Below are 25918 nucleotides of genomic sequence, written 5' to 3'. Positions count from 1 at the left end.
TACTCTTAAAAGGAAGAATAGCTCTCCCTCCCCCTCCCCCTTTCCCCAGGGTCTCCCTCTCCCTCTCTTTCCACGGTCTCCCTCTGATGCCCAGCCGAAGCTAGACTGTACTGCTGCCATCTCGGCTCACTGCAACCTCCCTGCCTGATTCTCCTGCCTCAGCCTGCCGAGTGCCTGCGATTGCGGGCGCGCGCCGCCACGCCTGTGTTTTTTTGGTGGAGACGGGGTTTCGCTGTGTTGGCCGGGCTGGTCTCCAGCTCCTAACCGCGAGTGATCCGCCAGCCTCGGCCTCCCGAGGTGCCGGGATTGCAGACGGAGTCTCGTTCACTCAGTGCTCAATGTTGCCCAGGCTGGAGTGCAGTGGCGTGATCTCGGCTAGCTACAACCTCCACCTCCCAGCCGCCTGCCTTGGCCTCCCAAAGTGCCGAGATTGCAGCCTCTGCCCGGCCGCCACCCCGTCTGGGAAGTGAGGAGCGTCTCTGCCTGGCTGCCCATCGTCTGGGATGTGAGGAGCCCCTCTGCCCGGCTGCCCAGTCTGGGAAGTGAGGAGCGCCTCTTCCCGGCCGCCATCCCGTCTAAGAAGTGAGGAGCGTCTCTGCCCGGCCGCCCATCATCTGAGATGTGGGGAGCGCCTCTGCCCCGCCGTAGCCACCCCGCCAGCCGCCCCGTCCGGGAGGGAGGTGGGGGGCCAGCCCCCGCACGGCCAGCCGCCCCGTCCGGGAGGGAGGTGGGGGGGCGCCTCCGCCCGGCCGCCGCCCCGTCCGGGAGGTGGGGGGCGCCTCTGCCCGGCCGCCCCTTCTGGGAGGTGAGGAGCCCCTCTGCCCGGCCACCACCCCGTCTAGGAGGTGTACCCAACAGCTCATTGAGAACGGGCCATGATGACAATGGTGGTTTTGTGGAATAGAAAAGGGGGAAAGGTGGGGAAAAGATAGAGATCGGATTGTTGCTGTGTCTGTGTGGAAAGAAGTAGACATGGGAGACTTCATTTTGTTCTGTACTAAGAAAAATTCTTCTGCCTTGGGATGCTGTTGATCTATGACCTTACCCCCAACCCTGTGCTCTCTGAAACATGTGCTGTGTCCACTCAGGGTTAAATGGATTAAGGGCGGTGCAAGATGTGCTTTGTTAAACAGATGCTTGAAGGCAGCATGCTCGTTAGGAGTCATCACCACTCCCTAATCTCAAGTACCCAGGGACACAAACACTGCGGAAGGCCGCAGGGTCCTCTGCCTAGGAAAGCCAGAGACCTTTGTTCACTTGTTTATCTGCTGACCTTCCCTCCACTATTGTCCTATGACCCTGCCAAATCCCCCTCTGCCAGAAACACCCAAGAATGATCAATAAAAAAAAAAAAAAAAAAAAAAGGAAGAATAGACTCTCTCTGGGACTGCCAATAATTTTTCCTTCTAAGCATAGACACCGGACCACTCTCCACCTAAGCATCACGAAAAATGTAGAGAAAGGAAGAGCTAAGAGCTCCTTAAACAAGTTCAGGCTTGACACAACCCTGGCCCTGACAGCCAGGGTCTTCAAGCGGGCCTTTCTGTGAAGGGTGGCCAGGCATCAACTTAGTAGGAGAGAAAACAGATGACTTATTTCCATCCACACTTAAGGAAAATGCAGTCTCCAAGGACTGCGTACATTTCTTTTTCGAGAAGGAGTCTCGCTGTTGTCGCCCAGGCTGGAGTGCAGTGGCGCAGTCTGGGCTCACAGCAACCTCTGCCTCCCGGATTCAAGCAATTCTCCTGCCTCAGCCTCGTGAGTAGCTGGGATTACAGGCACCCGCCACCACGCCTGGCTAATTTTTGTAGTTTTGGTAGAGACGGGGTTTCACCATGTTGGCCAGGCTGGTCTCGAACTCCTGACCTCCAGTGATTCGCCCGCCTTGGCCTCCCAAAATGCTGGGATTACAGGCGTGAGCCACCGCGCCCGGGCGACTGCGCACATTTCTATGGAGCTGTAAGTTAAAAGAGAAGGCAGTGAGGTGCTTCTGTCATTCTATGACAGAAACAGCTAAAGAGTAGAGAAATGTTCACAAGATTTAATAGAACAGAAATAGGAGAAGGTGCACACAAGCTCAACCAACTATAGCCTCACAAATAAAAGTGTCTTTTGTGTGTAGTACTTAAGTTTGGAATATTCTTTCTTATACAAATGAGTGGGGCTTAACCTAAGAAATCCTGGCCAGATTCTGCGACGAATGCATCGGTTATCTCTGACCCATCAGCAAACATCTTTTTCTGTGGCTTCAGTTTCCTCAGTAAAACAGAGGGGGTTGCGACGGACTCAGTCCGAGGGACAGCCATTCTCCAACGTCTATCCAAAGCCTAGGGCACCTCAATACTAACCGGCAGGCCAGCGCCCCCTCCGCGGGGCTGCGGACAGGACGCCTGTTATTCCATTCCTCGGCCGGGCTCTACAGGTGACCGGAAGAAGAGCCCCGAGTGCGGGACTGCAGTGCGCCCGACCTGCTCTAGGCGCAGGTCACTCCCGAACCCCGGCAGCAAAGCATCCAGCGCCGGAAAAGGTCCCGCGGTCGCCCCGGGGCCGGCGCTGGGGAGGAAGGAGTGGAGCGCGCTGGCCCCGTGACGTGGTCCAATCCCAGGCCGACGCCGGCTGCTTCTGCCCAACCGGTGGCTGGTCCCCTCCGCCGCCCCATTACAAGGCTGGCAAAGGGAGGGGGCGGGGCCTGGGACGTGGTCCAATGAGTACGCGCGCCGGGGCGGCGGGGGCGGGGCCGGGCGCGCAGCGCAGGGCCGGGCGGCCGAGGCTCCAATGAGCGCGCGCCGCGTCCGGGGCCGGCTGGTGCGCGAGACGCCGCCGAGAGGTTGGTGGCTAATGTAACAGTTTGCAAACCGAGAGGAGTTGTGAAGGGCGCGGGTGGGGGGCGCTGCCGGCCTCGTGGGTACGTTCGTGCCGCGTCTGTCCCAGAGCTGGGGCCGCAGGAGCGGAGGCAAGAGGTAGCGGGGGTGGATGGAGGTGCGGGCCGGCCACCCCTCCTAGGGGAGACAGCGTGCGAGCTCCGGGGGCGGGTCGGGAGCGCAAGGGAGGGCCGCGCGGACGCCGGGCGCTCGGCCTCGCACCGGGGGGCACGCAGCTCGGCCCCCGGTCTGTCCCCACTTGCTGGGGCGGGCCGGGATCCGTTTCCGGGAGTGGGAGCCGCCGCCTTCGTCAGGTGGGGTTTAGGTGAACACCGGGTAACGGCTACCCGCCGGGCGGGGAACCTTACCGCCCCTGGCACTGCGTCTGTGGGCACAGCGGGGCCGGGGAGTGAGCTGGGAAAGGGGAGGGGGCGGGACAACCCGCAGGGATGCCGAGGAGGAGATAGGCCTTTCCTTCATCCTAGCTACCCCCAACGTCATTACCTTTCTCTTCCCGTCCAGGCCCAGCTGGCTTTCCCCGTCAGCGGGGGAGCTCCAGGTGTGGGGAGGTGGTTGAGCCCTGGGCGGGGATCCCTGGCCGCACCCCAGGTGTCTGACAACAGGCACAGTGCTGCGGTGCGCCACTCACTGCCTGTGTGGTGGACAAAAGGCTCGGGTCTCCTTTCTCTTGTCCTGTTAGCTTCTCTGTTTAGGGATGTGGCAAAGCCGAGGACCCATGCTCTTTCACTTGGGCCTTTGTGTGGGCGCTGCTGGGATGATTAGAGAATGGTTTGTACCCATCAGGAGGGAGAAGGGGAGAAGTAGGCTGATCTGCCCTGGGTAAGAATGAAGTAGATATGAATCTTACAGCCTCTCCGTTCTGGGATGTGATTCTGTCTCCTTCACTCCGGGTATCCAGTTTTAAGTGTTTTCTTTCTTCGCCTCCCCCAGGGGCACTATGGCAGACAAAGTTAGGAGGCAGAGGCCGAGGAGGCGAGTCTGTTGGGCCTTGGTGGCTGTGCTCTTGGCAGACCTGTTGGCACTGAGTGGTATGTACCCCAGTAGAGGGAGCAAATGGATAAATGATGACTGAAGGATGCATGATGGGAATTGAGCTTGGGGCTGTTGGCCAGAAGTCTCTTGAGTTGTTAGGTCCAGGCCTTTTTGTCTTTTGCCATCTTCGTTTACCCATGGAAAGTGGTATGCTTTGATTAGAGGGAGTCCCAGGAAGGTGGGCGAAGGGAGAGCTAACTGACAAACCTCTTTTCCCTTCAGATACACTGGCAGTGATGTCTGTGGACCTGGGCAGTGAGTCCATGAAGGTGGCCATTGTCAAACCTGGAGTGCCCATGGAAATTGTCTTGAATAAGTGAGGGTGGCCCCCGTGTTAAGGGTGGGGAACGAGGGAGTCTGGGCTCCAAGTGTGAATGTGTTAGTCATAGTGCCCACAGCAGACTTCGGCATCTGAGTGGTTAAATGTGTGTGAGTGTCGAGGCTTCTGAGTCCTTCTGCTGCAGGCACCTGGGCCCAAAATCTCTTTTCCTCAGGGAATCTCGGAGGAAAACACCGGTGATCGTGACCCTGAAAGAAAATGAAAGATTCTTTGGAGACAGTGCAGCAAGCATGGTGAGCTAGCAGTCCCTCTTCCCAGAGTGGTGGGCAGAGGAGAGGAGATGGCAGCCCCCAGAGTCTGTTTCCTTATCAGTCTCTGTGATGTAAGAGGTAGGTAATGGTGGACTTGGGAGCCTAATACTAGTCTGCTCCTTCTTCACCCCTCAGGCGATTAAGAATCCAAAGGCTACGCTACGTTACTTCCAGCACCTCCTGGGGAAGCAGGCAGATAACCCCCATGTAGCTCTTTACCAGGCCCGCTTCCCGGAGCACGAGCTGACTTTCGACCCACAGAGGCAGACTGTGCACTTTCAGATCAGCTCGTGAGTGCTCTGTTGGGGAAGGTGGTCTCGGCAACGCTGCTGGGCTCCTCATTGGTGTGTGTTCCTGATTGTCCTGCCTTAATGCCTGGCTTTCCTTGGCTCCAACTACCTTCCTTCCCCTCAGGCAGCTGCAGTTCTCACCTGAGGAAGTGTTGGGCATGGTTCTCAATTATTCTCGTTCTCTAGCTGAAGATTTTGCAGGTGAGTGGTCAAGGTGGGGCCCTTAGGGCCAGGCTCCCCAGGATCTAGGGCAGTGATTCTCCAACAGGGGCAAGTTTGCCTCCCAGGGAACATTTAGCAACATCTGAAGATAGATTTTGGTTGTCACATCTGAGGGGTGCACCTGCTATCTAGTGGGTAGAGGCCGGGGATGCTGCTCAACATCCTACAGTGCACAGGACAGCCCCACAACACAGAATTACCTAGTCCAAAATGTCATTAGTGACCAGATTAGAAGCCCTCATCTAAGGTATGGAGCCGGCGGGACCCTTTTCTGTTGTCATCTGTAGAGCAGCCCATCAAGGATGCAGTGATCACCGTGCCAGTCTTCTTCAACCAGGCCGAGCGCCGAGCTGTGCTGCAGGCTGCTCGTATGGCTGGCCTCAAAGTGCTGCAGCTCATCAATGACAACACCGCCACTGCCCTCAGCTATGGTGTCTTCCGCCGGAAAGATATTAACACCACTGCCCAGGTGAGCCAGGGGAGCCTTGACCAGACATGCAGGGTGACTGAATCTAAGGATGGAGGCCACTTGGTCCCTTTTGCATCTGGTTTGCATGGCTGGGCTGACCCTTGGCAAAATGCACCAATAGCCTCCTCCCAGCCCCTGTTGGAGCTGTTTAGTTTTGTGTTAAGAGTCAGACAGCCCATTGGAAGCAGGTGGGTGGGCAGGCAGGCCCCCTGGAGTTTGAGAAGGTTCCTGTGACAGTTGCCTTGATATCTCTACAGAATATCATGTTCTATGACATGGGCTCAGGCAGCACCGTATGCACCATTGTGACCTACCAGATGGTGAAGACTAAGGAAGCTGGGATGCAGCCACAGCTGCAGATCCGGGGAGTAGGGTAAGTGGATACTTGGCAGGGAGGGCTGCTTGTGAAGACCCTCAAGTCAGGGGTTTCTTCTTGGAGGAGACACACTGCTTTGCTTTCCTGCATGCTGCAGGAATGGTCTCCTGATTGAGGCATCAGTCATTGTAGGGGACCACTCACAAAGAGTAAGGGGAAGCTGAGGCTCAGGGGAGGACAGTTTGGGAAAACTGGAAGACATGGAACTTTCAAAATGTATTCTAAGGAAATCCATGGAGCCGCAGGCAATATGTAGGGTGTCAGATTCAATCATGTTTTTGTTCTCTTGTCATTTCCAGTTAAATAATTTACCATTCTTGTTGTCTTACCTCTTTTTAAATTTTTTTTTATGGCCTGTGACATAGCCCTCAGGAGATCCTGAGAACATGTGCCCTGTTGTCTTATTTCTTGAAATCATCTTTTTCCGTCTTCACCATTACCACCCAGCCCAAGTTACCATCACCTCTTATTTGCAGAATTAAAAACATCTCCCTGTTCCTAGTGACGTCTCCTTTCAGTTCTTTCTTCATATTGCAGCCAGAGGGTTCTTCTTAAAATCCAACCTAATCATTACCTGTTTCTTTAAAAACCTGTCGCTGGCTCCATAACTTTCCCTGTGCCTGTCTCAACCCTGCCTTCTGCAGCCTGTCTGAGCCCTGAGCCCTCTCGCTTTTTGAGCCCCAGTGATGCTTGCCCTCCTCCGGAACTTGCCATGCACTCTCCCACTTCAAGGTCTTTATGAACGTTGTTGCCTCTGTCTAGAATGTTCTTTCCCCTCCAGCTAGTGAACTCTGAACTCTTCAGTTCAAGTGATGCTTGCACTGAACTCATCCTTCAGGTTTCAGTTCAAGCATCACTTTTTAGGAGACATGTTCTTGGGTCTCCCTCAGTAGCCTGAATCTCCCCCCATGCATGTTCTGCAGGCATTGTCCCCTCACCTTTACAACATGTGACGTAGTGATAATTTCACATTTGTGTGATTATTCAACTTTTCCATAGCAGGGACCCTGTCTCTCTCCCCACCGCCACATTTGTATTCCCAGAGGGAAGTACATAAGTAATGCTCAGTAAACACTGTCGAATGAATGAGTGGAAGAAGGGTCACTGCGAGGTGTCAGCTGTGCTGTAGAGAGTTGAGGGCAGAGTGTGTGTCCACACATGGGGCACTGGAGATGAACAAGGTCCCCTGAGATGAAGGAAAGGTGCCATGTGGGGATGAGAGGCTCCTGTGCAGATGCGGGGACTCCATGTGTTCTTCACTTTTTTCCCTGCTCCCTTTTCTCAACAGATTTGACCGTACCCTGGGGGGCCTGGAGATGGAGCTCCGGCTTCGAGAACGCCTGGCTGGGCTTTTCAATGAGCAGCGCAAGGGTCAGAGAGCAAAGGATGTGCGGGAGAACCCGCGTGCCATGGCCAAGCTGCTGCGTGAGGCTAATCGGCTCAAAACCGTCCTCAGTGCCAACGCTGACCACATGGCACAGGTGCCCACAAGTGGCTGGTTGAGGCTATATTTTGTCCCACGTAGAGGGTGGGGGACCCTGCCACTGAACTGGGCTGCTCGTGCCTGGCATGGCCCATGCTCCTCCCGCTACCATCCTCCCAAAGACCTATTCTTTTTGTTTCTGTCCTACTCACCAAGAGAGCGGGAGCTGGGCAAGAACCCCCTGACAGTCCCCATCCTCTCCCAGATTGAAGGCCTGATGGATGATGTGGACTTCAAGGCAAAAGTGACTCGTGTGGAATTTGAGGAGTTGTGTGCAGACTTGTTTGAGCGGGTGCCTGGGCCTGTACAGCAGGCCCTCCAGAGTGCCGAAATGAGTCTGGTGAGCGAGTAGGGGAAGGCGGGAATGCCCCGTAGGAAAGGGCATAGGAAACCCATGGGACGTCAAGGGACGAGTCAGTGCTAACTGCATGCTGTTGCACCTGTCATTCTTACCCACTGCAGGATGAGATTGAGCAGGTGATCCTGGTGGGTGGGGCCACTCGGGTCCCCAGAGTTCAGGAGGTGCTGCTGAAGGCCGTGGGCAAGTGAGTGTGGGGGCTAGAGCGCTTGGCTGAGTTCTGCCTGGGGCAGGGCTTTGGGCTGAGCAGCTGGAGGGCTGAGGGGAGGGAAGTCCCGGTTGCATGCTCCAGGGTAGACCGTGCTGAGGCTTGGGGCTTTCCCAGGGAGGAGCTGGGGAAGAACATCAATGCAGATGAAGCAGCCGCCATGGGGGCAGTGTACCAGGCAGCTGCGCTCAGCAAAGCCTTTAAAGTGAAGCCATTTGTCGTCCGAGATGCAGTGGTCTACCCCATCCTGGTGAGTGAGCCTGACTGAGCAGGTGACAAGCTCCCTTTACCTCTCCCAAGTAGGGTTTCCCCTTCTGTCTGCTCTGGCTCATCCCTTTGTCTTTCTGCTAAGAGGTCTCCCCCATCCCACCCCCATCCTTACCCCAGAACCTACTCGGGTTCTCTAGTGTGCAACAGTGTGCCTCTGTCTGCCTGCTGTGTAGGTGGAGTTCACGAGGGAGGTGGAGGAGGAGCCTGGGATTCACAGCCTGAAGCACAATAAACGGGTACTCTTCTCTCGGATGGGGCCCTACCCTCAACGCAAAGTCATCACCTTTAACCGCTACAGCCATGATTTCAACTTCCACATCAACTACGGCGACCTGGGCTTCCTGGGGCCTGAAGATCTTCGGTGAGGGGCAGGGGTGTAGGATGGGAGCTCCAGGGAGGGGGAGGCGTGGCTGCTGGATAATCTGAGGACTGGGGGTGAGGGAGGATGTGGGCCTGCGGGGCTGAAACAGGGCAGCTATGATCAGCTTCGCTGGAGAATGCATCCGTCCTCTTGAGTGTGCCCTTGGGGAGTGCCCCTGACACCTTGTGCCAGGAGGCCATGTAGTCTAGAGGGCGAGATGGGCTGGGGTGGGTCCCCCTGAACTCCTCTTTCCTTCCCAACCAGGGTATTTGGCTCCCAGAATCTGACCACAGTGAAGCTAAAAGGGGTGGGTGACAGCTTCAAGAAGTATCCTGACTACGAGTCCAAGGGCATCAAGGCTCACTTCAACCTGGATGAGAGTGGCGTGCTCAGTCTAGACAGGGTGAGAGCTAAAGGATACCCTGTGTGCAGAGCAGGGGCTCAGGCCCTGCCAGCCATTTCCAAAGTGGGTTCCACATGGCATTAGGATAAGATAACCAAAAAAGGTTTAGGAATCAGAAAAATGTTGGCTCTGAACAGAGCTAACTGATGATCTGGTGCAGACCTCCTTATAGCCTATAAATGCTTATAGGCATTGTAAATTTCTTGGAACTATTGAATGGTTTGATATAGGCATTGTAAATTTCTTGGAACAATTGAATGGTTTGAAGAATCCACTCTTTTTTTTTTTTTTTTTTTTTTTTTTTTTTTTTTTTTGGAGAGGGTCTTGGCTCTGTTACTTAAGCTGGAATATAATGGCATGGTCATAGCGCATTCCAGCCTTGAACACTTGGGCTTAAATGATCCTCCCATCTCAGCCTCTTGAGTAGCTGGGACGATACGTATGTGCCACCATATCCTGCGAAATTTTTTTGTACTTTATTTATAGAGATAGGGTCTCACTATGTTGCCAGACTGGTCTCTAACTCCTGGGATCAAGCGATCATCCTGCCTCAACCTCCCAAAGTACAGGGATTATGGGTGGGAGCCACGCAGCCTCAGGAATCCACTTATTATTATTATTACTTTTTTTGAGACAGAGTCTTGCTCTGTTGTCCAGGCTGGAGTACAGTGACGTGATCTTGCAACCTCCGCCTCCCGGGTTCAAGTGACTCTCCTGTCTCAGCCTCCTGAGTAGCTGGGATTACAGGCGCCTGCCACCACACCTGGCTAATTTTTGTTATTTGGAGTAGAGATAGGGTTTCACCATGTTGGCCAGTCTGGTCTCAAACCCCTGACCTCAAGTGATCCACCTGCCTTGGCCTCCCAAAGTGTTGAGATTACAGGCATAAGCCACTGCACTCGGCCAGGAATCCGTTTTTGAAGAACAAATCTGGGGGTAATATGGATGTAATAGCCAATACAGTTATTGAGTGGAGAAGTAGGGGGCTCTTTGGAGAAAGAGGAGCTGGGACCCTATTCATGGAGGGCTCTTAATCAAAGGAGATGGGCAGCCACCTCCAAGTCCTTAGAAAAGGCAGGTGAGAGACTAGGCCTGTGACGGCATGGAGTGTGCATAAGCAAACACCCACTTTGGCAGATGTTTGTGGAGAAAAGGTGGATTAGCCTGTGTATTTTTTCATTTTGAACCTGTTTTCAGGTGGAGTCTGTATTTGAGACACTGGTAGAGGACAGCGCAGAAGAGGAATCTACTCTCACCAGTAAGATGAGCATGCATGTGTGTATGGGAGAGAATATACTTGTGTGAAGGTTGGGGAGGTGGACAGGGCATGGCCCTTGGGTTAGAAGGTGGAGTCACTGCTGTGGTCTCCTTTTGAGTCTTTGGGTTTTACTCCCCCTAGAACTTGGCAACACCATTTCCAGCCTGTTTGGAGGCGGTACCACACCAGATGCCAAGGAGAATGGTACTGATACTGTCCAGGTGAGTTCAGGATGGAGCCAGGGAAGCATGGAGGACGGTGGGGGATGCAGGTAGTAGCCGCAGAGGAAGGGGGTGAGGGTAGGCCACCCCTGCCCCTGTTGTGTTAACCATTCACTCCCCAGGATCCTCTGGGCTCTGAGCTGTTTCTTGACTGGTGCTCCCAAGGCCCATTCCCCTCATTGCAGATGCTCTTCCTTTGTCCAGCTAGATTGCCACAGTCCAAGCAGGCCATTGACCGTTTCCATACAGCAGTCACCTGTATGGAACCCCCATGGGGTCGGCGGTGCCGAGCCAGGCCTGCCTGGAGGCTCTGCTCCTGATCGTTCCCTGGGGCGCCTGTGGTGTTTCCCAGGAGGAAGAGGAGAGCCCTGCAGAGGGGAGCAAGGACGAGCCTGGGGAGCAGGTGGAGCTCAAGGAGGAAGCTGAGGCCCCAGTGGAGGATGGCTCTCAGCCCCCACCCCCTGAACCTAAGGGAGATGCAACCCCTGAGGGAGAAAAGGCCACAGAAAAAGAAAATGGGGACAAGTCTGAGGCCCAGGTGAGCTGTGGCAGAGGAAGGCCAGTGTGGATCCAGAGGCTAAGGGAGCAGGCGCCTGCCTTGTTTCTGGCCTTGTGGAGAATGTAGGAGGGCAGAGGCTTTTCCTGACACCCCTGACTCTTCCCACCCAGAAACCAAGTGAGAAGGCAGAGGCAGGGCCTGAGGGCGTCGCTCCAGCCCCAGAGGGAGAGAAGAAGCAGAAGCCCGCCAGGAAGCGGCGAATGGTAGAGGAGATCGGGGTGGAGCTGGTTGTTCTGGACCTGCCTGACTTGCCAGAGGATAAGCTGGCTCAGTCGGTGCAGAAGTAAGTGAGGACAGCTGGTGTGTGTGTGTACATGTGTGTGCAAGGTGGGCAGGATGTGGGATGGCGCCCTGGGAGGGAGGGCTGTCGGACCCAGAGTCTCAAGTTCTCACTTGCCCTCTCCCTCATCCCTACCCCTCCTTTGTCCCATAGACTTCAGGACTTGACACTCCGAGACCTGGAGAAGCAGGAACGGGAAAAAGCTGCCAACAGCTTGGAAGCATTCATATTTGAGACCCAGGTCAGTGGGCAGGAGGCAGCAGCCCCCCCACTGGGCTTACACCTGGCTCTGTGGGCCTTGCCTCTGGGCTTGTGGGTGCATGTGTTTACATGTCCCCCTCCCCAGGACAAGCTGTACCAGCCCGAGTACCAGGAAGTGTCCACAGAGGAGCAGCGTGAGGAGATCTCTGGGAAGCTCAGCGCCGCATCCACCTGGCTGGAGGATGAGGGTGTTGGAGCCACCACAGTGGTGAGGGGCCTCTCAGGACATGGCAGGTGGAGTGGGAGCTCTCCTTCCTCTCCCAGGGTCAGAGAGAGAGAAGAGCTGGGGCTTGAGCCCATAAAGAAGGACATGGGGCTGACTCCAGGCTCTGCTGTCGTCCCTTCCACCCCTCTGCCCAATCGCACATCCATCAGATGTTGAAGGAGAAGCTGGCTGAGCTGAGGAAGCTGTGCCAAGGGCTGTTTTTTCGGGTAGAGGAGCGCAAGAAGTGGCCCGAACGGCTGTCTGCCCTCGATAATCTCCTCAACCATTCCAGCATGTTCCTCAAGTGAGCAGCCCCTGAACCCTTTTTGCAGTCCTGCCAAGGCCACTGGTTTTCATTCCTACCAGCTTCCCACTCCCCACACTCCAGGCCCCTCTCCCTCTGGGGCTAATGGTCTCCTTTCTGGCTTCCAGGGGGGCCCGGCTCATCCCAGAGATGGACCAGATCTTCACTGAGGTGGAGATGACAACGTTAGAGAAAGTCATCAATGAGACCTGGGTAATCACTTCGTAAATACTTAACCAGATACTTAGCTGCCATCCTAGGTACTGTGGGAGAGGTGGAGAGATGAAGCCACAGCAGCCCCTGCCTCCTGGCTTAGCATCTAACCTGAAGACAAAAGATGTTTGTATTTGAGCCCACCTCTGATTAGTCCCAAGCAAGGGCCATGGCCATAAGAGTCATCAGCCTGGAGGAGCAAAAAAGCCCATCCCATGAGGACAGAGAAAGCTGCTTTGAGGGGCTGGGATTTGAGCTAGGTTCAGAACATGGGCCAGGGTTTGGCTAGGTGAAACTGATGTGTCATGTGAAGCAGAAACTGTTTTGGATGTGTGGGGACTCTTGAGCCAGAGCTCAGTAAAGTGGAGAGTCAAGAAATGAGTATTCAGCTGGGCGCGGTGGCTCACGCCTGTAATCCCAGCACTTAAGGAGGCTGAGGTGGGCGAATCACCAGGTCAAGAGATTGAGACCATCCTGGTCAACATGGTGAAACCCCGTCTCTACTAAATATACAGAAATTAGCTGGGCGTGGTCGCCTGTAGTCCTAGCTACTCAGGAGGCTGAGGCAGGAGAATCTTTTGAACCCAGGAGTCGGAGGTTGCAGTGAGTCGAGATCGCGCCACTGCACTCCAGCCTGGCAACAGAGCGAGACTCCGTCTCAAAAAAAAAAAAGGACTATTCAAGGGGTTTGTTCAGTTGTAGTCACTCCAGAGTAGTAGGATGTAAACCAGAAACCTGCAGGTTGGGACTTCATTGTGGAGAACCTTTAATACCCTTCTGAGGAGTCTGTTAGCCTCTTGGGGCTGAGGCCAGGGGTGGCAGTGATTTGCAGTCTGAGGGAAGAGGCTGGTTGGGGGTGTGATTCCATCTGGGACAGAGATGTCTGCTCTCTCCATGGCTAGCTTGGAGCCTCTCCTGGTCTCACCCACAGGCCTGGAAGAATGCAACTCTGGCCGAGCAGGCTAAGCTGCCCGCCACAGAGAAGCCTGTGTTGCTCTCAAAAGACATTGAAGCTAAGATGATGGCCCTGGACCGAGAGGTGCAGTATCTGCTCAATAAGGCCAAGTTTACCAAGCCCCGGCCCCGGCCTAAGGACAAGAATGGGACCCGGGCAGAGCCACCCCTCAATGCCAGTGCCAGTGACCAGGGGGAGAAGGTCATCCCTCCAGCAGGTGAGAACAGGGTACCTGGCTGCATGTTCTGCTGGACAGGGAGACAGCCTCCTTTCCTTCCTGAGGCTATGTCTTACCCCTGGTTTCCTTCTAGGCCAGACTGAAGATGCAGAGCCCATTTCAGAACCTGAGAAAGTAGAGACTGGTGAGTTGGAGCAACCATGGTTGAGCACGTGGATGTTGCATTAGCCCAGGGGTAGGCAAACTGGCAGGCACAGCCTGTTTCTAGACAGCCCATGAGCTTGAATGGCCTTTGCGTTTTTAAAGGGTTGTTTAAAAAAAAAAAAAAAAAAAAAGGCCAGGCACGGTGGCTCACGCCTGTAATCCCAGCAGTTTGGAAGGCTGAGGCGGGTAGATCACCTGAGGTCAGGAGTTCGAGACCAGCCTGGCCAACATGGTGAAACCCCATCTTTACTAAAAAAATACCAAAAAAAAGAGTCAGGCGTGGTGGCGCACACCTTTAATCCCAGCTACTCAGGAGGCTGAGGCAGGAGAACACTTGAACCTGGGAGGCAGAGGTTGCAGTAAGCCAAGATGGCGCCACTGCACTCTGCACTCCAGCCTGGGCAACAGAGACTCTGTCTCAAAAAACAGAGTAGGCAAAGAGACCAAATGTGGTACATGCATCCTAAAATATTTACTAGCTGGCTCTTCATGGAAAAACTGGCCCAGCCTTCCCTTAGCCTCTTCCTCCCTTCTGAGGAGACTAACCTGTTTCTTCCCAAAGCAGGATCCGAGCCAGGAGACACTGAGCCTTTGGAGTTAGGAGGTCCTGGAGCAGGTGAGGATGGAGCCGGGGCTACGGTGGGAAGCCTGGTGGGGTCTCAGGAAATCCTTTGCAAAGAACTGGGGTTGGTTCCTCTGTTTCACCTGCGGTGATTCCTTTGCTCCCCCAAACTCCCAACAGAACCTGAACAGAAAGAACAATCGACAGGACAGAAGCGGCCTTTGAAGAACGACGAACTATAACCCCCACCTCTGTTTTCCCCATTCATCTCCACCCCCTTCCCCCACCACTTCTATTTATTTAACATCGAGGGTTGGGGGAGGGGTTGGTCCTGCCCTCGGCTGGAGTTCCTTTCTCACCCCTGTGATTTGGAGGTGTGGAGAAGGGGAAGGGAGGGACAGCTCACTGGTTCCTTCTGCAGTACCTCTGTGGTTAAAAATGGAAACTGTTCTCCTCCCCAGCCCCACTCCCTGTTCCCTACCCATATAGGCCCTAAATTTGGGAAAAATCACTATTAATTTCTGAATCCTTTGCCTGTGGGTAGGAAGAGAATGGCTGCCAGTGGCTGATGGGTCCCGGTGATGGGAAGGGTATCAGGTTGCTGGGGAGTTTCCACTCTTCTCTGGTGATTGTTCCTTCCCTCCCTTCCTCTCCCACCATGCGATGAGCATCCTTTCAGGCCAGTGTCTGCAGAGCCTCAGTTACCAGGTTTGGTTTCTGAGTGCCTATCTGTGCTCTTTCCTCCCTCTGCGGGCTTCTCTTGCTCTGAGCCTCCCTTCCCCATTCCCATCCAGCTCCTTTCCCCCTGGGTTTCCTTGGCTTCCTGCAGCAAATTGGGCAGTTCTCTGCCCCTTGCCTAAAAGCCTGTACCTCTGGATTGGCGGAAGTAAATCTGGAAGGATTCTCACTCGTATTTCCCACCCCTAGTGGCCAGAGGAGGGAGGGGCACAGTGAAGAAGGGAGCCCACCACCTCTCCGAAGAGGAAAGCCACGTAGAGTGGTTGGCATGGGGTGCCAGCATCGTGCAAGCTCTGTCATAATCTGCATCTTCCCAGCAGCCTGGTACCCCAGGTTCCTGTAACTCCCTGCCTCCTCCTCTCTTCTGCTGTTCTGCTCCTCCCAGACAGAGCCTTTCCCTCACCCCCTGACCCCCTGGGCTGACCAAAATGTGCTTTCTACTGTGAGTCCCTATCCCAAGATCCTGGGGAAAGGAGAGACCATGGTGTGAATGTAGAGATGCCACCTCCCTCTCTCTGAGGCAGGCCTGTGGATGAAGGAGGAGGGTCAGGGCTGGCCTTCCTCTGTGCATCACTCTGCTAGGTTGGGGGCCCCCGACCCACCATACCTACGCCTAGGGAGCCCGTCCTCCAGTATTCCGTCTGTAGCAGGAGCTAGGGCTGCTGCCTCAGCTCCAAGACAAGAATGAACCTGGCTGTGTCAGTCATTTTGTCTTTTCCTTTTTTTTTTTTTTTTGCCACATTGGCAGAGATGGGACCTAAGGGTCCCACCCCTCACCCCACCCCCACCTCTTCTGTATGTTTGAATTCTTTCAGTAGCTGTTGATGCTGGTTGGACAGGTTTGAGTCAAATTGTACTTTGCTCCATTGTTAATTGAGAAACTGTTTCAATAAAATATTCTTTTCTACAGTTTTTGTGCTGTGAGTTTTTAAAAATAGAAAAATTTTGGGCCAGGCATGGTGGCTCATACCTGTCATCTTAACATTTTGGGAGGCCAAGATGGGAGGATAGCTTGAGGTCGGACCAGCCTGGGCAACAGCAAGACTCTGTCTCAAAAAAAAAAAAAAAAAGTATCTGAGTGTGGGGATGTGTGCCTGTAGACCCAGCTACTTGGGAGACTGAGGCTGGAGGGTGGGTCCCTTGGGCCCAGGACTTCGAGGCTTCAGTGAGCTATGATCGTGCCACTGCACTCCAGCATGTGTGACAGTGAAAACCTCAAAAAGTTTGAATAATTACATCATCAAAATGTTATTGACACTTTGGACTTAGTTGAGATTTGTATATGTATTTTTTTCAAGGAAACAAAATACTGGTTTTATTTTACTGCTAACATTATTTGGACTCCTATATCCCAGGCATTTTTAAGTAACGTACTTTTTTTTTTTTTTTTTCTTTGAGACTGGGTCCTGCTCTGTTGCCCAGGCTGGAGTATAGTAATGCGATCCAGGCTCACTGCAACCTCCGCCTCCCGGGTTCAAGTGATTCTACTGCCCCAGCCTCCTGAGTAGCTGGGATTACAGGCACCTGCCACCATACCCAGCTAAATTTTTTTTGTATTTTAGTAGAGACGGGGTTTCACCATGTTGGCTAAGCTGGTCTGGAACTGACCTGAAGCGATCCACCTGCCTTGGGCTCCCAAAGTGCTGGGTTTACAGGCCTGAGCCACTGGGCCCAGCTGGTAACATTAATTTTTAAAATAGCAACCTCATTGTACAAATAAGATACCAGTTCATAGAGATTTAGCAAGTAATTGGTCCAAGGAATGAATCAATGTTGAGTGCTTCAGCTAGGTTTGAGCTTAATTCTGACCATTCGCCCTTGTTCTTCGTACTTAGCCGTGGGAATGTGTTGGTAGAGACCATTTGTAGCAGTTTCGGTTCATCAGTTTGGGATGCAGCATGCCTAGCCCAAATTTTCTATTACCAAGGGAGGATCCCTCTTGTCACTAATCATGTACATATCTAAGCAGTTGTATACGGTATACAGGGTGTTGCTCTGTCACCCAGGCTGGAGTGCAATGGTGCCATCTTGGCCCACTGCAGCCGCGACCTCCCAGGCTCAAGCAATCCTCCCACCTCAGCCCTGTAGCAGGGACTACCTGGCTAATTTTTGTATTTTCTGGTCGAGACGGGGTTTCACTATGTTGCTCAGGCTGGTCTTGAACTCCTGGACTCAAATGATCTGCTTGCCTTGGCCTCCCAAAGTGCTGGGATTACAGGTATGAGCCACTGAGCTTGGCCCCGTTGTATTTACATTTAATAACCATGAAGGCCCAGCCGGGTGTAGTAGCTCACGCCTGTAGTCCTAGCACTTTGGGAGGCCAAGGCAGGCGGATCATGAGGTCAGGAGATCCGAGACCATCCTGGCTAACACAGTGAAACTCCGTCTCTACTAAAAATACAAAAAATCAGCCGGACATGGTGGCACCCGCCTGTAGTCCCAGCTACTCAGGAGGCTGAGACAGGAAAATCAATTGAACCCGGGAGGATGAGGTTGCAGTGAGCTGAGATCGTGCCACTGCACTCCAGCCTGGGCGACAGCTAGACTCTGTCACACACAAAAAAAATAACCACGAAGGGTTGTCTTTTTTCTCTAAAAGTTGAACAAGTCAGATAAGTTTTGAATGTGGAAGTTTTGGGTTTTTGTTTTTTTTTTTTTGGATGACTTTTAGACAGTTTCAGATTCACAGCAGAATTGAGCAGGAGGTACAGAGTTGCCATATACCTCCTGTCCCCACATACTCAATCTCCCCCAGAGTGGTACATTTGTTACAATCACCCAAAGTTCTGTATGACACCATAATGGTGGGTACATATACATTTGTCAAAACCTATAGAATGTGCAACACCAAGACAACTGAAAGTGTAGACTTTGGGCAAATATGATGAGTCAGTGTAGGTTCCTCAGATGTAACACCTGTAGACCTCTGGTGTGAAGTGTTTATTATGGGGGAAGCTGTGAGTGTATGGAGGAAGGGAATATACGGGAACTCTGTATTTTCCCCTCAATTTTGCTGTGAACCTAAAAGTGCTCTAAAAAAAAAAGGCGAAGCTAAGTGCAGTGACTCATGGCTGTAATACCAGTGTTTGGGGAGGCAGGAGTGGAAGGATCGCTTGAGGCCAGGAGTTTGAGACAACATAGCCAGACCTCATCTCTACAAAAAATAGTAGTCCTAGCTACTCAGGAGGCAGAGGCAGGAGGATCACTTGAAACTAGGAGTTCAAAGCTGCAGTAGATTATGATCGCACCACTGCACTGCAGCCTGGGAGGGAGAGACCCCGACTCAAAAAAAAAAAAAAAAGGCCCGGCGCGCCTTGCCTCAAGCCTGTAATCCCAACACTTTGGGCGGCCGAGGCAGGCGGATCACCTGAAGTCAACAGTTTGAGACCAGCCTGGGCGACAAGAGCGAAACTCTGTCTCAAAAAAAAAAAGGGTGGGGAGGTGGGGGGCAGGCACGGTGGCTCGGGCTAGTAATCCCAGCACCTTGGGAGGCTGAGGCAGGCAGATCACAAGGTCAGAAGTTTGAGACTAGCCTGGCTAACACAGTGAAACCCTGTCTGTACTAAAAATACAAAAATTAGCTTGGCGTGGTGGTGGGCACCTGTAATCCCAGCTACTCAGGAGGCCGAGGAAGGAGAATCACTTGAACCCAGGAGACAGAGGTTGCAGTGCGCCAAGACTGGGCCACGGCACTCCAACCTGGCAACAGAGCAAGACTCCGTCTCAAAAAAAAAAAAAAAAAAAAAAAAAAATCGGGACTAGATGGCTTCACTGGTGAATTCTACCAAATATTTTTAAAATATTTATTTTGGCCAGGGATGGTGGCTCACATCTGTAATCCTAGCACTTTGGGAAGCCGAGGTGAGTGGATTGCCTGAGCTCTGAAGTTTGAGACCACCCTGGGCAACATGGCGAAACACCATGTCTACTAAAATACAAAAAATTAGCCGGGTGTGGTGGTGTGTGCCCGTAGTCCCAGCTACTTAGGAGGCTGAGGCTTGAGAATTACTTGAACCCAGGAGGCAGAAGTTGCAGTGAGCTGAGGTCATGCCACTGCACTCCAGCCTGGGCAACAGAGCGAGACTCTGCCTCAAAAATAAAAATAAAAAATAGCCAGGCCCGGCCGGGCGCAGTGGCTCACACCTGTAATCCCAGCACTTTGGGAGGCCGAGGCGGGCGGATCACCTGAAGTCAGCAGTTCGAGACCAGCCTGGCCAACATGGTGAAACCCAGTCTCTACTAAAAAATACAAAAATTAGCCGGGCTTGGTGGCAGGCGATTTAATCCCAGCTATTTGGGAAGCAGAGGCAGGAGAATCATTTGAACCTGGGAGGCAGAGGTTGCAGTGAGTGGAGATCAAGCCATTGCACTCAAACCTGGGGGATAAGAGCAAGACTTCTCTCAAAAAAAACAAATAGCCAGGCCCAGTGGCTCACGCCTGTAATCCCAGTCAGGATACCTCAGGTCAAGACCAGCCTGGCCAACATGGCAAAACCCCATTTCTACTAAAAATACAAAAAATAGCTGGGCGTAGTGGGGCTGGGCGCAGTGGCTCATGCCTGAAATCCTAGCACTTTGGGAGGCCGAGGCAGGCAGATCACCAGGTCAGGAGATCGAGACCATCCTGTCTAACACGGTGAAACCCCATCTCTACTAAAAATACAAAAAAATTAGCCGGGCATGGTGGCAGGTGCCTGTAGTCCCAGCTACTTGGGAAGGTGAGGCAGGAGAATGGCATGAACTCGGGAGGCGGAGCTTGCAGCAAGCGGAGATCACTCACTGCACTCCAGCCTGGGTGACAGAGCAAGACTCCATCTCAAAAAAAAAAAAAAAATCCTCCTGCCTGTGCCTCCCAGTGTTGGGATTACAAGCATGAGCCATCCTGTTCAGCCAGGGGCTAATTTTGAAACAAGCCAGGAATAAAGACCCAGCTACCTGTGGGGAAAAGAAAGAGAGATCAGATTGGTAATGTGTCTGTATAGAAAGTAGACATAAGAGACTCCATTTTAATCTGTAACCCCACCCCCAACCCTGTGCTCCCTGAGACATGTGCTGTGTCAACTCAGGGTTAAATGGATTAAGGGCTGTGCAAGATGTGCTTTGCTAAACAAATGCTTGAAGGAATCTCAAGTACCCAGGGACACAAAACACTGCGGAAGGCCGCAGGGACCCCTGCCTAGGAAAGCCAGGTACTGTCCAAGGTTTCTCCCCATGTGATAGCCTGAGATATGGCCTCGTGGGAAGGGAAAGACCTGACCGTCCCCCAGCCCGACACCCGTAAAGGGTCTGTGCTGAGGAGGATTAGTAAAAGAGGAAGGAACGCCTCGTTGCAGTTGAGACAAGAGGAAGGCATCTGTCTCCTGCTCGTCCCTGGGCAATGGAATGTCTCGATGTAAAACCCGATTGTATATTCCATCTACTGAGATAGGGGGAAACTGCCTTAGGGCTGCAGGTGGGACATGCGGGCAGCAATACTGCTCTGTAAGGCATTGAGATGTTTATGTGTATACATATCTAAAGCACAGCACTTAATTCTTTACCTTGTTTATGATGCAGAGAACTTTGTTCACGTGTTTACCTGCTGACCTTCTCTCCACTATTATCTTATGATCCTGCCACATCCCCCTCTCCGAGAAACACCCAATAATGATCAATAAATACTAAGGGAACTCAGAGGCCGGCGGGATCCTCCATATGCTGAGCGCCGGTCCCCTGGTCCCCCGATTTCTTTCTCTGTACTTTGTCTGTGTCTCTTTCTTTTCCAAGTCTCTCGTTCCACCTAACAAGGAACACCCACAGGTGTGGAGGAGCAACCCACCCCTTCAGCTACCGAATCCTCCTGTTTAGGGGGAGTCACGACCAATTAATCCAAAACCACCAGGTAGAAGTCAAGATGATGCCAACTGGGCTTCCAGACAAGAAATTACTCAAGAGAGCTATCGGAACAAGACACATAGATACCCTCCTGTACCACTCCCATATGTTTCCCATGCCAAGTTTTTCTTATGAAATCTCTTCACTGAGCCCAAAAAGCTGGAACAGTCTTTTAAAGGCATGAGTCTGGCCATATCTCAACTGTTAGCATTTGATTAATAAAACTGCTCTCTGTAGGCCGGGGGCAGTGGTTCACATCTGTAATCCCAGCACTTTCGGAGGCCAAAGTGGGTGGATCACTTGAGGCCAGGAGTTTGAGACCAGCCTGGCCAACATGGCAAAACTCTGTCTCTACTAAAAATACACAAATTGGCTGGGCGCAGTAGCTCACACCTGTAATCCCAACACTTTGGGAGGCCGAGGCGGGCGGATTACCTGAGGTCAGGAGTTCAAGACCAGTCTGGCCAATATGGTGAAACCCCATCTCTACTAAAAATACAAAAATTAGCCGGGTGTGGTGGCACACGCCTGTAATCCCAGCTACATGGGAGGCTGAGGCAAGAGAATCACTTGAACCCAGGAGGAGGAGGTTGCAGTGAGCCAAGATCTCGCCACTGCACTCCAGCCTGGCAACAGAGCCAGACTCTGTCTCAAAATAAATAAATAAATAAATAAATAAATAAATAAATAAATAAATGAAAAGAAAAAAGAAAAAAAAAGAAAACTAGTGTTGATGAGGCTGTAGAGGAATTAAAACTCTCACATGGCTGGGCGTGGTTGCTCACGCCTGTAATCCCAGCACTATGGGAGGCTGAGGCGAGAGGATTACTTGAGCCCAAGAGCTCGAGACCAGTCTGGGCAACAATAGTGAGACCCCCATCTCTACAAAAAATAAAAATAAAAAATTAGCCAAGCATGGCAGCTGGGATTATTCTGGTGGTTACTCTTTAATGATTAAGACCTATTCTTATGTTTATTTTTCTGTCAATTCCTTAAGCTTTCAAAATTTATATTATCCCCCTTTACCAAGTAAATTCCTCAGTGTTAATTTATCAAGTTACCTCTCCCATGTTGATACCATCTCTAATTTTCTTTTTTTTTTTTTTTTGAGACGGAGTTTCGCTCTTGTTGCCCAGGCTGGAGTGCAATGGTGTGATCTTGGCTCACCGCAACCTCCGCCTCCCAGGTTCAAGCAATTCTCCTACCTCAGCCTCCCGAGTAGCTGGGATTACAGGCATGCACCAGCATACCTGGCTAATTTTGTATTTTTAGTAGAGACGGGGTTTCACTGTGTTAGCCAGGATGGTCTCGATCTCCTGACCTCGTGATCCACCCACTTCGGCCTTCCAAAGTGCTAGGATTACAGGCGTGAGCCTCCGCGCCCGGCCTAATTTTCTTTCTTTTCTTTTTTTTTTTTTTTGAGACGGAGTCTCACTCTGTCGTCCAGGCTTTAGTGCAGTGGCGCGATCTTGGCTCACTGCAAGCTCCGCCTCCCAGGTTCATGCCATTCTTCTGCCTCAGCCTCCCGAGTAGCTGGGATTACAGGTGCCTGCCACCAAGCCCGGCTAATTTTTTTTTTTTTGTATTTTTAGTAGAGACGGGGTTTCACCGTGTTAGCCAGGATGTTCTCGATCTCCTGACCTCGTGATCCACCTGCCTCAGCCTCCCAAAGTGCTGGGATTACAGGCGTGAGCCACCACGCCTAGCAGTTTTATTTTCTTAAATGACATTTTCTTTTTTCTTTTCTTTCTTTTTTTTTTTTTTTTGAGATGAAGTCTCGCTCTTGTCCCCCAGGCTGGAGTGCAATGCTGCGATCTCGGCTTACTGCAACCTCCGCCTCCCAGGTCCAAGCGATTCTCCTGCCTCAGCCCCCAAGTAGCTGGGATTACAGGCACCTGCCACCACACTCGGCTAATTTTTGTATTTTTAGTAGAAATGAGGTTTCACCGTGTTGGCTGGGCTGATCTCAAACTCCTGACGTCAGGTGATCTGCCTGCCTTGGCCTCCCAAAGTGCTGGGATTACAGGCGTGAGCCACTACGCCCAGCCTCTTTATTTATTTATTTATTTTTTTGAGACGGAGTCTCTCTCTGTCGCCCAGGCTGGAGTGCAGTGGTGCAATCTCAGCTCACTGCAACTTCCACCTCCTGAGTTTGAGTGATTCCCCTGCCTCAGCCTCCTAAGTAGCTAGGACTACAGGCATGTGCCATCACGCTCAACTAATTTTTGTAATTTTAGTAGAGACAGAGTTTCACCATGTTGGTCAGGCTGGTCTTGAACTCCTGACCTCAGGTGATCTGCCCTCCTCAGCCTCCCAAAGTGCTGGAATTACAGGCGTGAACCACTGTGCCAGGTCTTAAATGGCATTTTTAAATCTATCTGGGATTTATTTTGTGTGGAGTGTGCAATAGAGATCTAAGTTGATTTTTTCTAAATACCTAGAACAATTTATTCATTTATCTATTTATTATTTATTTATTTTGAGGCAGGGTCTCACTCTGTCACCCAGGAGGGAGTGCAGTGGCGTGATCACAGCTCATTGCAGCCTCAACCTTTTCGGCTCAAGCAATTCTCCTGCCTTGGCCTTCCAAAGTGTTTCAATTACAGGCATGAGCCACTGTGCCTGGCATTATTTATTAGTTAATCCACTCCACTCTATTGATTTGGGATGGCTTCCTTTTTTTTTTTTTTTTTTTTTACTTTTTTGGAGACAAGGTCTCACTCGGTTGCCCAGGCAGGAGTGCAGTAGCACAATCACTGCTCAGTGCAACCTTGACCACCCAGACTTAAGCAATCCTCCCACCTCAGCCTCCTGAGTAGCTGGGACTATCAGCATGAGCCACCATGCCTGGTTAATTAAAAAAAAAATTATTTATTTATTTTAAATTTTGAGACGGAGTCTTGCTCTGTCACCCAGGCTCAAGTGCAGTGGCATGATCTCAGCTCACTGCAACCCCCGCCTCCCTGGTTCAAGTGATTCTCCTGCCTCAGCCTCCCTAGTAGCTGGAATTACAGGTGTGTGCCACCATGCCCGCCTAATTTTTGTGTTTTTTTTTTTGAGACTGAGTCTCACCCTGTTGCCCAGGCTGGAGTGCAATGGTGCCATCTTGGCTCACTGCAACCTCTGCCTTTCAGGTTCAAGCGATTCTCCTCCCTCAGCCTCCTGAATAGCTGTGATTACAGGTGCACGCCTCCACGCCTGGCTAATTTTTGTATTTTTAGTAGACGGGGTTTCACCATGTTGGCCAGGCTGGTCTGGAACTCCTGACCTCGTGATCCACCCACCTCGGCCTCCCAAAGTGCTGGGATTATAAGCGTGAGCCACTGCACCCGTCCAGGAGTGTCATTTTTTTTAATTAAAAAAAATTTTTCTTTTGAAACACGGTCTTGCTTTCACCCAGGCTAGAGTACAGTAGTGCGATCATAGCTTACTGCAGCCTTGACCTTCCTGCCTCAAGCAATCCTGCCACCTCAGTCTCCCAATTAGCTGGGACCACAGGTACATGCCACCACACCTGGCTAATTTTTACTTTTATTTATTTATTTATTATTTTGAGATGGAGTCTCGCTCTGTGGCCCAGGCTGGAGTGCAGTGGCGCGATCTTGGCTCACTGCAACCTCCGCCTCCCGGGTTCATTCGATTCTCCTGCCTCAGCCTCAGGAGTATCTGGGATTAAAGGCACATGCCACCACGCCCAGCTAATTTTGGTATTTTTAGTAGAGACTGGGTTTCATCATGTTGGCCAGGCTGGTCTCGAACTCCTGACCTCAGGTGATCTGCCTGCCTCAGCCTTCCAAAGTGCTGGCATTACAGGCATGAGCCACTGCACCCGACCCTGGCTAATTTTTTATATTTTTGTAGAGATGGCGGGGGGTTCTCCCTATGTTGCCCAGGCTGGTCTTGAACTCCTGGACTCAATCAACCCTCTCACCTCAGCCTTCCAAAGTGGTTGAATTACAGCATAAGCCACTGCACCTGTGCAGGATGTCCCTTTTATCATAGTTAAAATCATACATGAGATAAAAAATTTTTTTGAAACAAGGTCTTTCTTGTAGCCTAGGCTGGAGTGCAGTGCTACAATCATAGCTCACTGAGGCCTTGAACTCCTAGGCTCAAGGTCTCTTCCCGTCTAAGCCCCTGAGTAGATAGGACTAGAGGCACATGCCACCACACCTGGCTAATTTCTAAATTTTTTGTAGCAATGGGGTCTCACTACGTTGCCCAGGCTGGTCTCAAACTCCTGACCTCAAGCCATCCTTCCAAAGTGTTGGGATTGTAAGCATGAGCCACTGGGCCCAACCTCGGATGATATTTAAAATAATGTTGTCCATTCATTTCTATGGCTTCTGAAAAAAAAATAAAAACTTTGTCCAGTTTCCAACAAATTCTGTTGGGATATAGATTGGGATGGTTTTAAAATGCCAAATGAATTTTGAATGGATTGACATTTGGACAGTATCAAAGTCATAGCTTGTTTTTCAGGCATGTAGTATGATTTACGTTTGTTCAAATTACCTTTTATTATCCCTTAGTAAAGTCTTTGTACTGTATTGGGATGTCATCTTCTCATTTCTTTTTCTTTTCTTTCTTTCTTTCTTTTTTTTTTTTTTTGAGACGGAGTCTCACTCTGTCACCTAGGCTGGAGTGCAATGGCGCCATCTCAGCTCACTGCAACTTCTGCCTCCCAGGTTCAAGTGATTCTCCTGCCTCAGCCTCCTGATTAGCTGGGATTACAGGTGTACACCACCACACCCGGCTAATTTTTGTATTTTTAGTAGAGACAGGGTTTCACCATGTTGGTCAGGCTGGTCTCGAACTCCTGACCTCATGATCCGCGCGCCTCAGCCTCGCAAAGTGCTGGGATTACGGGAGTAAGCCACCATGCCCGGCCTATCTTCTCATTTCTTAACATTCTTTGGAAATACAGTGAGCAAACTAGCATTTGAGTCCCTACTATCCTGATCATAAAGTGCTTTAAAATGTTTTTCCATTTAATTCCCACTGACTGGGTGCGATGGATCATGCTTGTAATCGCCGCACTTTGGGAGCCTGAGGCAGGTGGATAACCTAAACTCAGGAGTTTGAGACTAGCCTGGCCAACATGGCGAAACCCCCTCTGTACGCCGGGTGCGGTGGCTCACGCTTGTAATCTAGCACTTTG

At 51.8% G+C, this 25918-nt stretch overlaps 1 protein-coding gene and 1 long non-coding RNA gene across 10 annotated transcripts, besides 8 other annotated features; one reads left to right on the top strand and one right to left on the bottom strand.

Moving 5' to 3' along the window:
* Positions 2268-2317: an enhancer, noted in NCBI's record as "active region_5618". NCBI's record gives its function as "activates an Ori minimal core promoter by ATAC-STARR-seq in GM12878 lymphoblastoid cells {active_cell/tissue: GM12878}" and the evidence as "EXISTENCE:reporter gene assay evidence [ECO:0000049][PMID:35858748]".
* Positions 2548-2827: a silencer, noted in NCBI's record as "silent region_3964". NCBI's record gives its function as "represses an Ori minimal core promoter by ATAC-STARR-seq in GM12878 lymphoblastoid cells {active_cell/tissue: GM12878}" and the evidence as "EXISTENCE:reporter gene assay evidence [ECO:0000049][PMID:35858748]".
* Positions 2548-3197: a biological region, named in NCBI's record as "H3K27ac hESC enhancer GRCh37_chr11:118927515-118928014".
* Positions 2677-3176: an enhancer, noted in NCBI's record as "H3K27ac hESC enhancer chr11:118927515-118928014 (GRCh37/hg19 assembly coordinates)". NCBI's record gives its function as "activates a minimal SCP1, AML or CMV promoter by ChIP-STARR-seq in naive H9 embryonic stem cells {active_cell/tissue: H9 hESC(naive)}" and the evidence as "EXISTENCE:reporter gene assay evidence [ECO:0000049][PMID:30033119]".
* HYOU1 (hypoxia up-regulated 1) lies at positions 2775-15792 on the top strand. Of its 9 annotated transcripts, none has more exons than NM_001130991.3 (26): positions 2775-2827; positions 3813-3910; positions 4137-4230; positions 4409-4487; positions 4641-4795; positions 4920-4996; positions 5305-5486; positions 5744-5859; positions 7151-7343; positions 7551-7685; positions 7808-7890; positions 8029-8161; positions 8355-8542; positions 8807-8945; positions 10143-10203; positions 10345-10424; positions 10777-10962; positions 11094-11266; positions 11417-11504; positions 11610-11732; positions 11900-12033; positions 12162-12246; positions 13178-13418; positions 13513-13563; positions 14149-14199; positions 14326-15792. In NM_001130991.3, the coding sequence occupies exons 2-26, from the start codon at positions 3820-3822 to the stop codon at positions 14385-14387; spliced, it is 3000 nt and encodes a 999-aa protein (NP_001124463.1). In that variant the 5' UTR covers positions 2775-2827; positions 3813-3819; the 3' UTR covers positions 14388-15792. The 9 variants fall into 9 exon arrangements, with proteins under 9 accessions (NP_001124463.1, XP_005271449.1, XP_016872586.1 ...); XM_005271392.5 differs by having other exon boundaries at positions 14146-14199; XM_017017097.2 differs by having other exon boundaries at positions 2775-2905.
* Positions 2918-3197: a silencer, noted in NCBI's record as "silent region_3963". NCBI's record gives its function as "represses an Ori minimal core promoter by ATAC-STARR-seq in GM12878 lymphoblastoid cells {active_cell/tissue: GM12878}" and the evidence as "EXISTENCE:reporter gene assay evidence [ECO:0000049][PMID:35858748]".
* Positions 3177-3677: an enhancer, noted in NCBI's record as "H3K27ac hESC enhancer chr11:118927013-118927514 (GRCh37/hg19 assembly coordinates)". NCBI's record gives its function as "activates a minimal SCP1, AML or CMV promoter by ChIP-STARR-seq in naive H9 embryonic stem cells {active_cell/tissue: H9 hESC(naive)}" and the evidence as "EXISTENCE:reporter gene assay evidence [ECO:0000049][PMID:30033119]".
* Positions 7802-8231: an enhancer, noted in NCBI's record as "active region_5617". NCBI's record gives its function as "activates an Ori minimal core promoter by ATAC-STARR-seq in GM12878 lymphoblastoid cells {active_cell/tissue: GM12878}" and the evidence as "EXISTENCE:reporter gene assay evidence [ECO:0000049][PMID:35858748]".
* Positions 14487-15792, bottom strand: HYOU1-AS1 (HYOU1 antisense RNA 1). Its single transcript, NR_186315.1, has 2 exons — positions 15235-15792; positions 14487-14595 (listed from the first exon to the last, which is right to left on the bottom strand). It is a non-coding gene; the product is annotated as an HYOU1 antisense RNA 1 (long non-coding RNA).
* Positions 23829-23983: a silencer, noted in NCBI's record as "fragment chr11:118906707-118906861 (GRCh37/hg19 assembly coordinates)". NCBI's record gives its function as "represses an EF-1alpha promoter that drives an FKBP-Casp9 reporter gene in an ReSE screen in HepG2 liver carcinoma cells {active_cell/tissue: HepG2}" and the evidence as "EXISTENCE:reporter gene assay evidence [ECO:0000049][PMID:32094911]".

Source organism: Homo sapiens, chromosome 11, assembly GCF_000001405.40.
Source record: "Homo sapiens chromosome 11, GRCh38.p14 Primary Assembly".
Taxonomy (NCBI): Eukaryota; Metazoa; Chordata; class Mammalia; order Primates; family Hominidae; genus Homo; species Homo sapiens.
The sequence above is the reverse complement of the archived record's forward strand: the minus strand, read 5'-3'. Positions and strand labels throughout refer to the sequence as shown.

Excerpts from the sequence above, each read along its gene's own strand:
- HYOU1 (XM_005271392.5), top strand. The coding sequence starts at position 3,820 with ATGGCAGACAAAGTTAGGAGGCAGAGGCCGAGGAGGCGAGTCTGTTGG. Across the intron at positions 11,733-11,899 it reads GTGTTGGAGCCACCACAGTG|ATGTTGAAGGAGAAGCTGGC; the intron begins GTGAGGGGCCTC and ends CACATCCATCAG. Across the intron at positions 12,247-13,177 it reads AAGTCATCAATGAGACCTGG|GCCTGGAAGAATGCAACTCT; the intron begins GTAATCACTTCG and ends TCTCACCCACAG.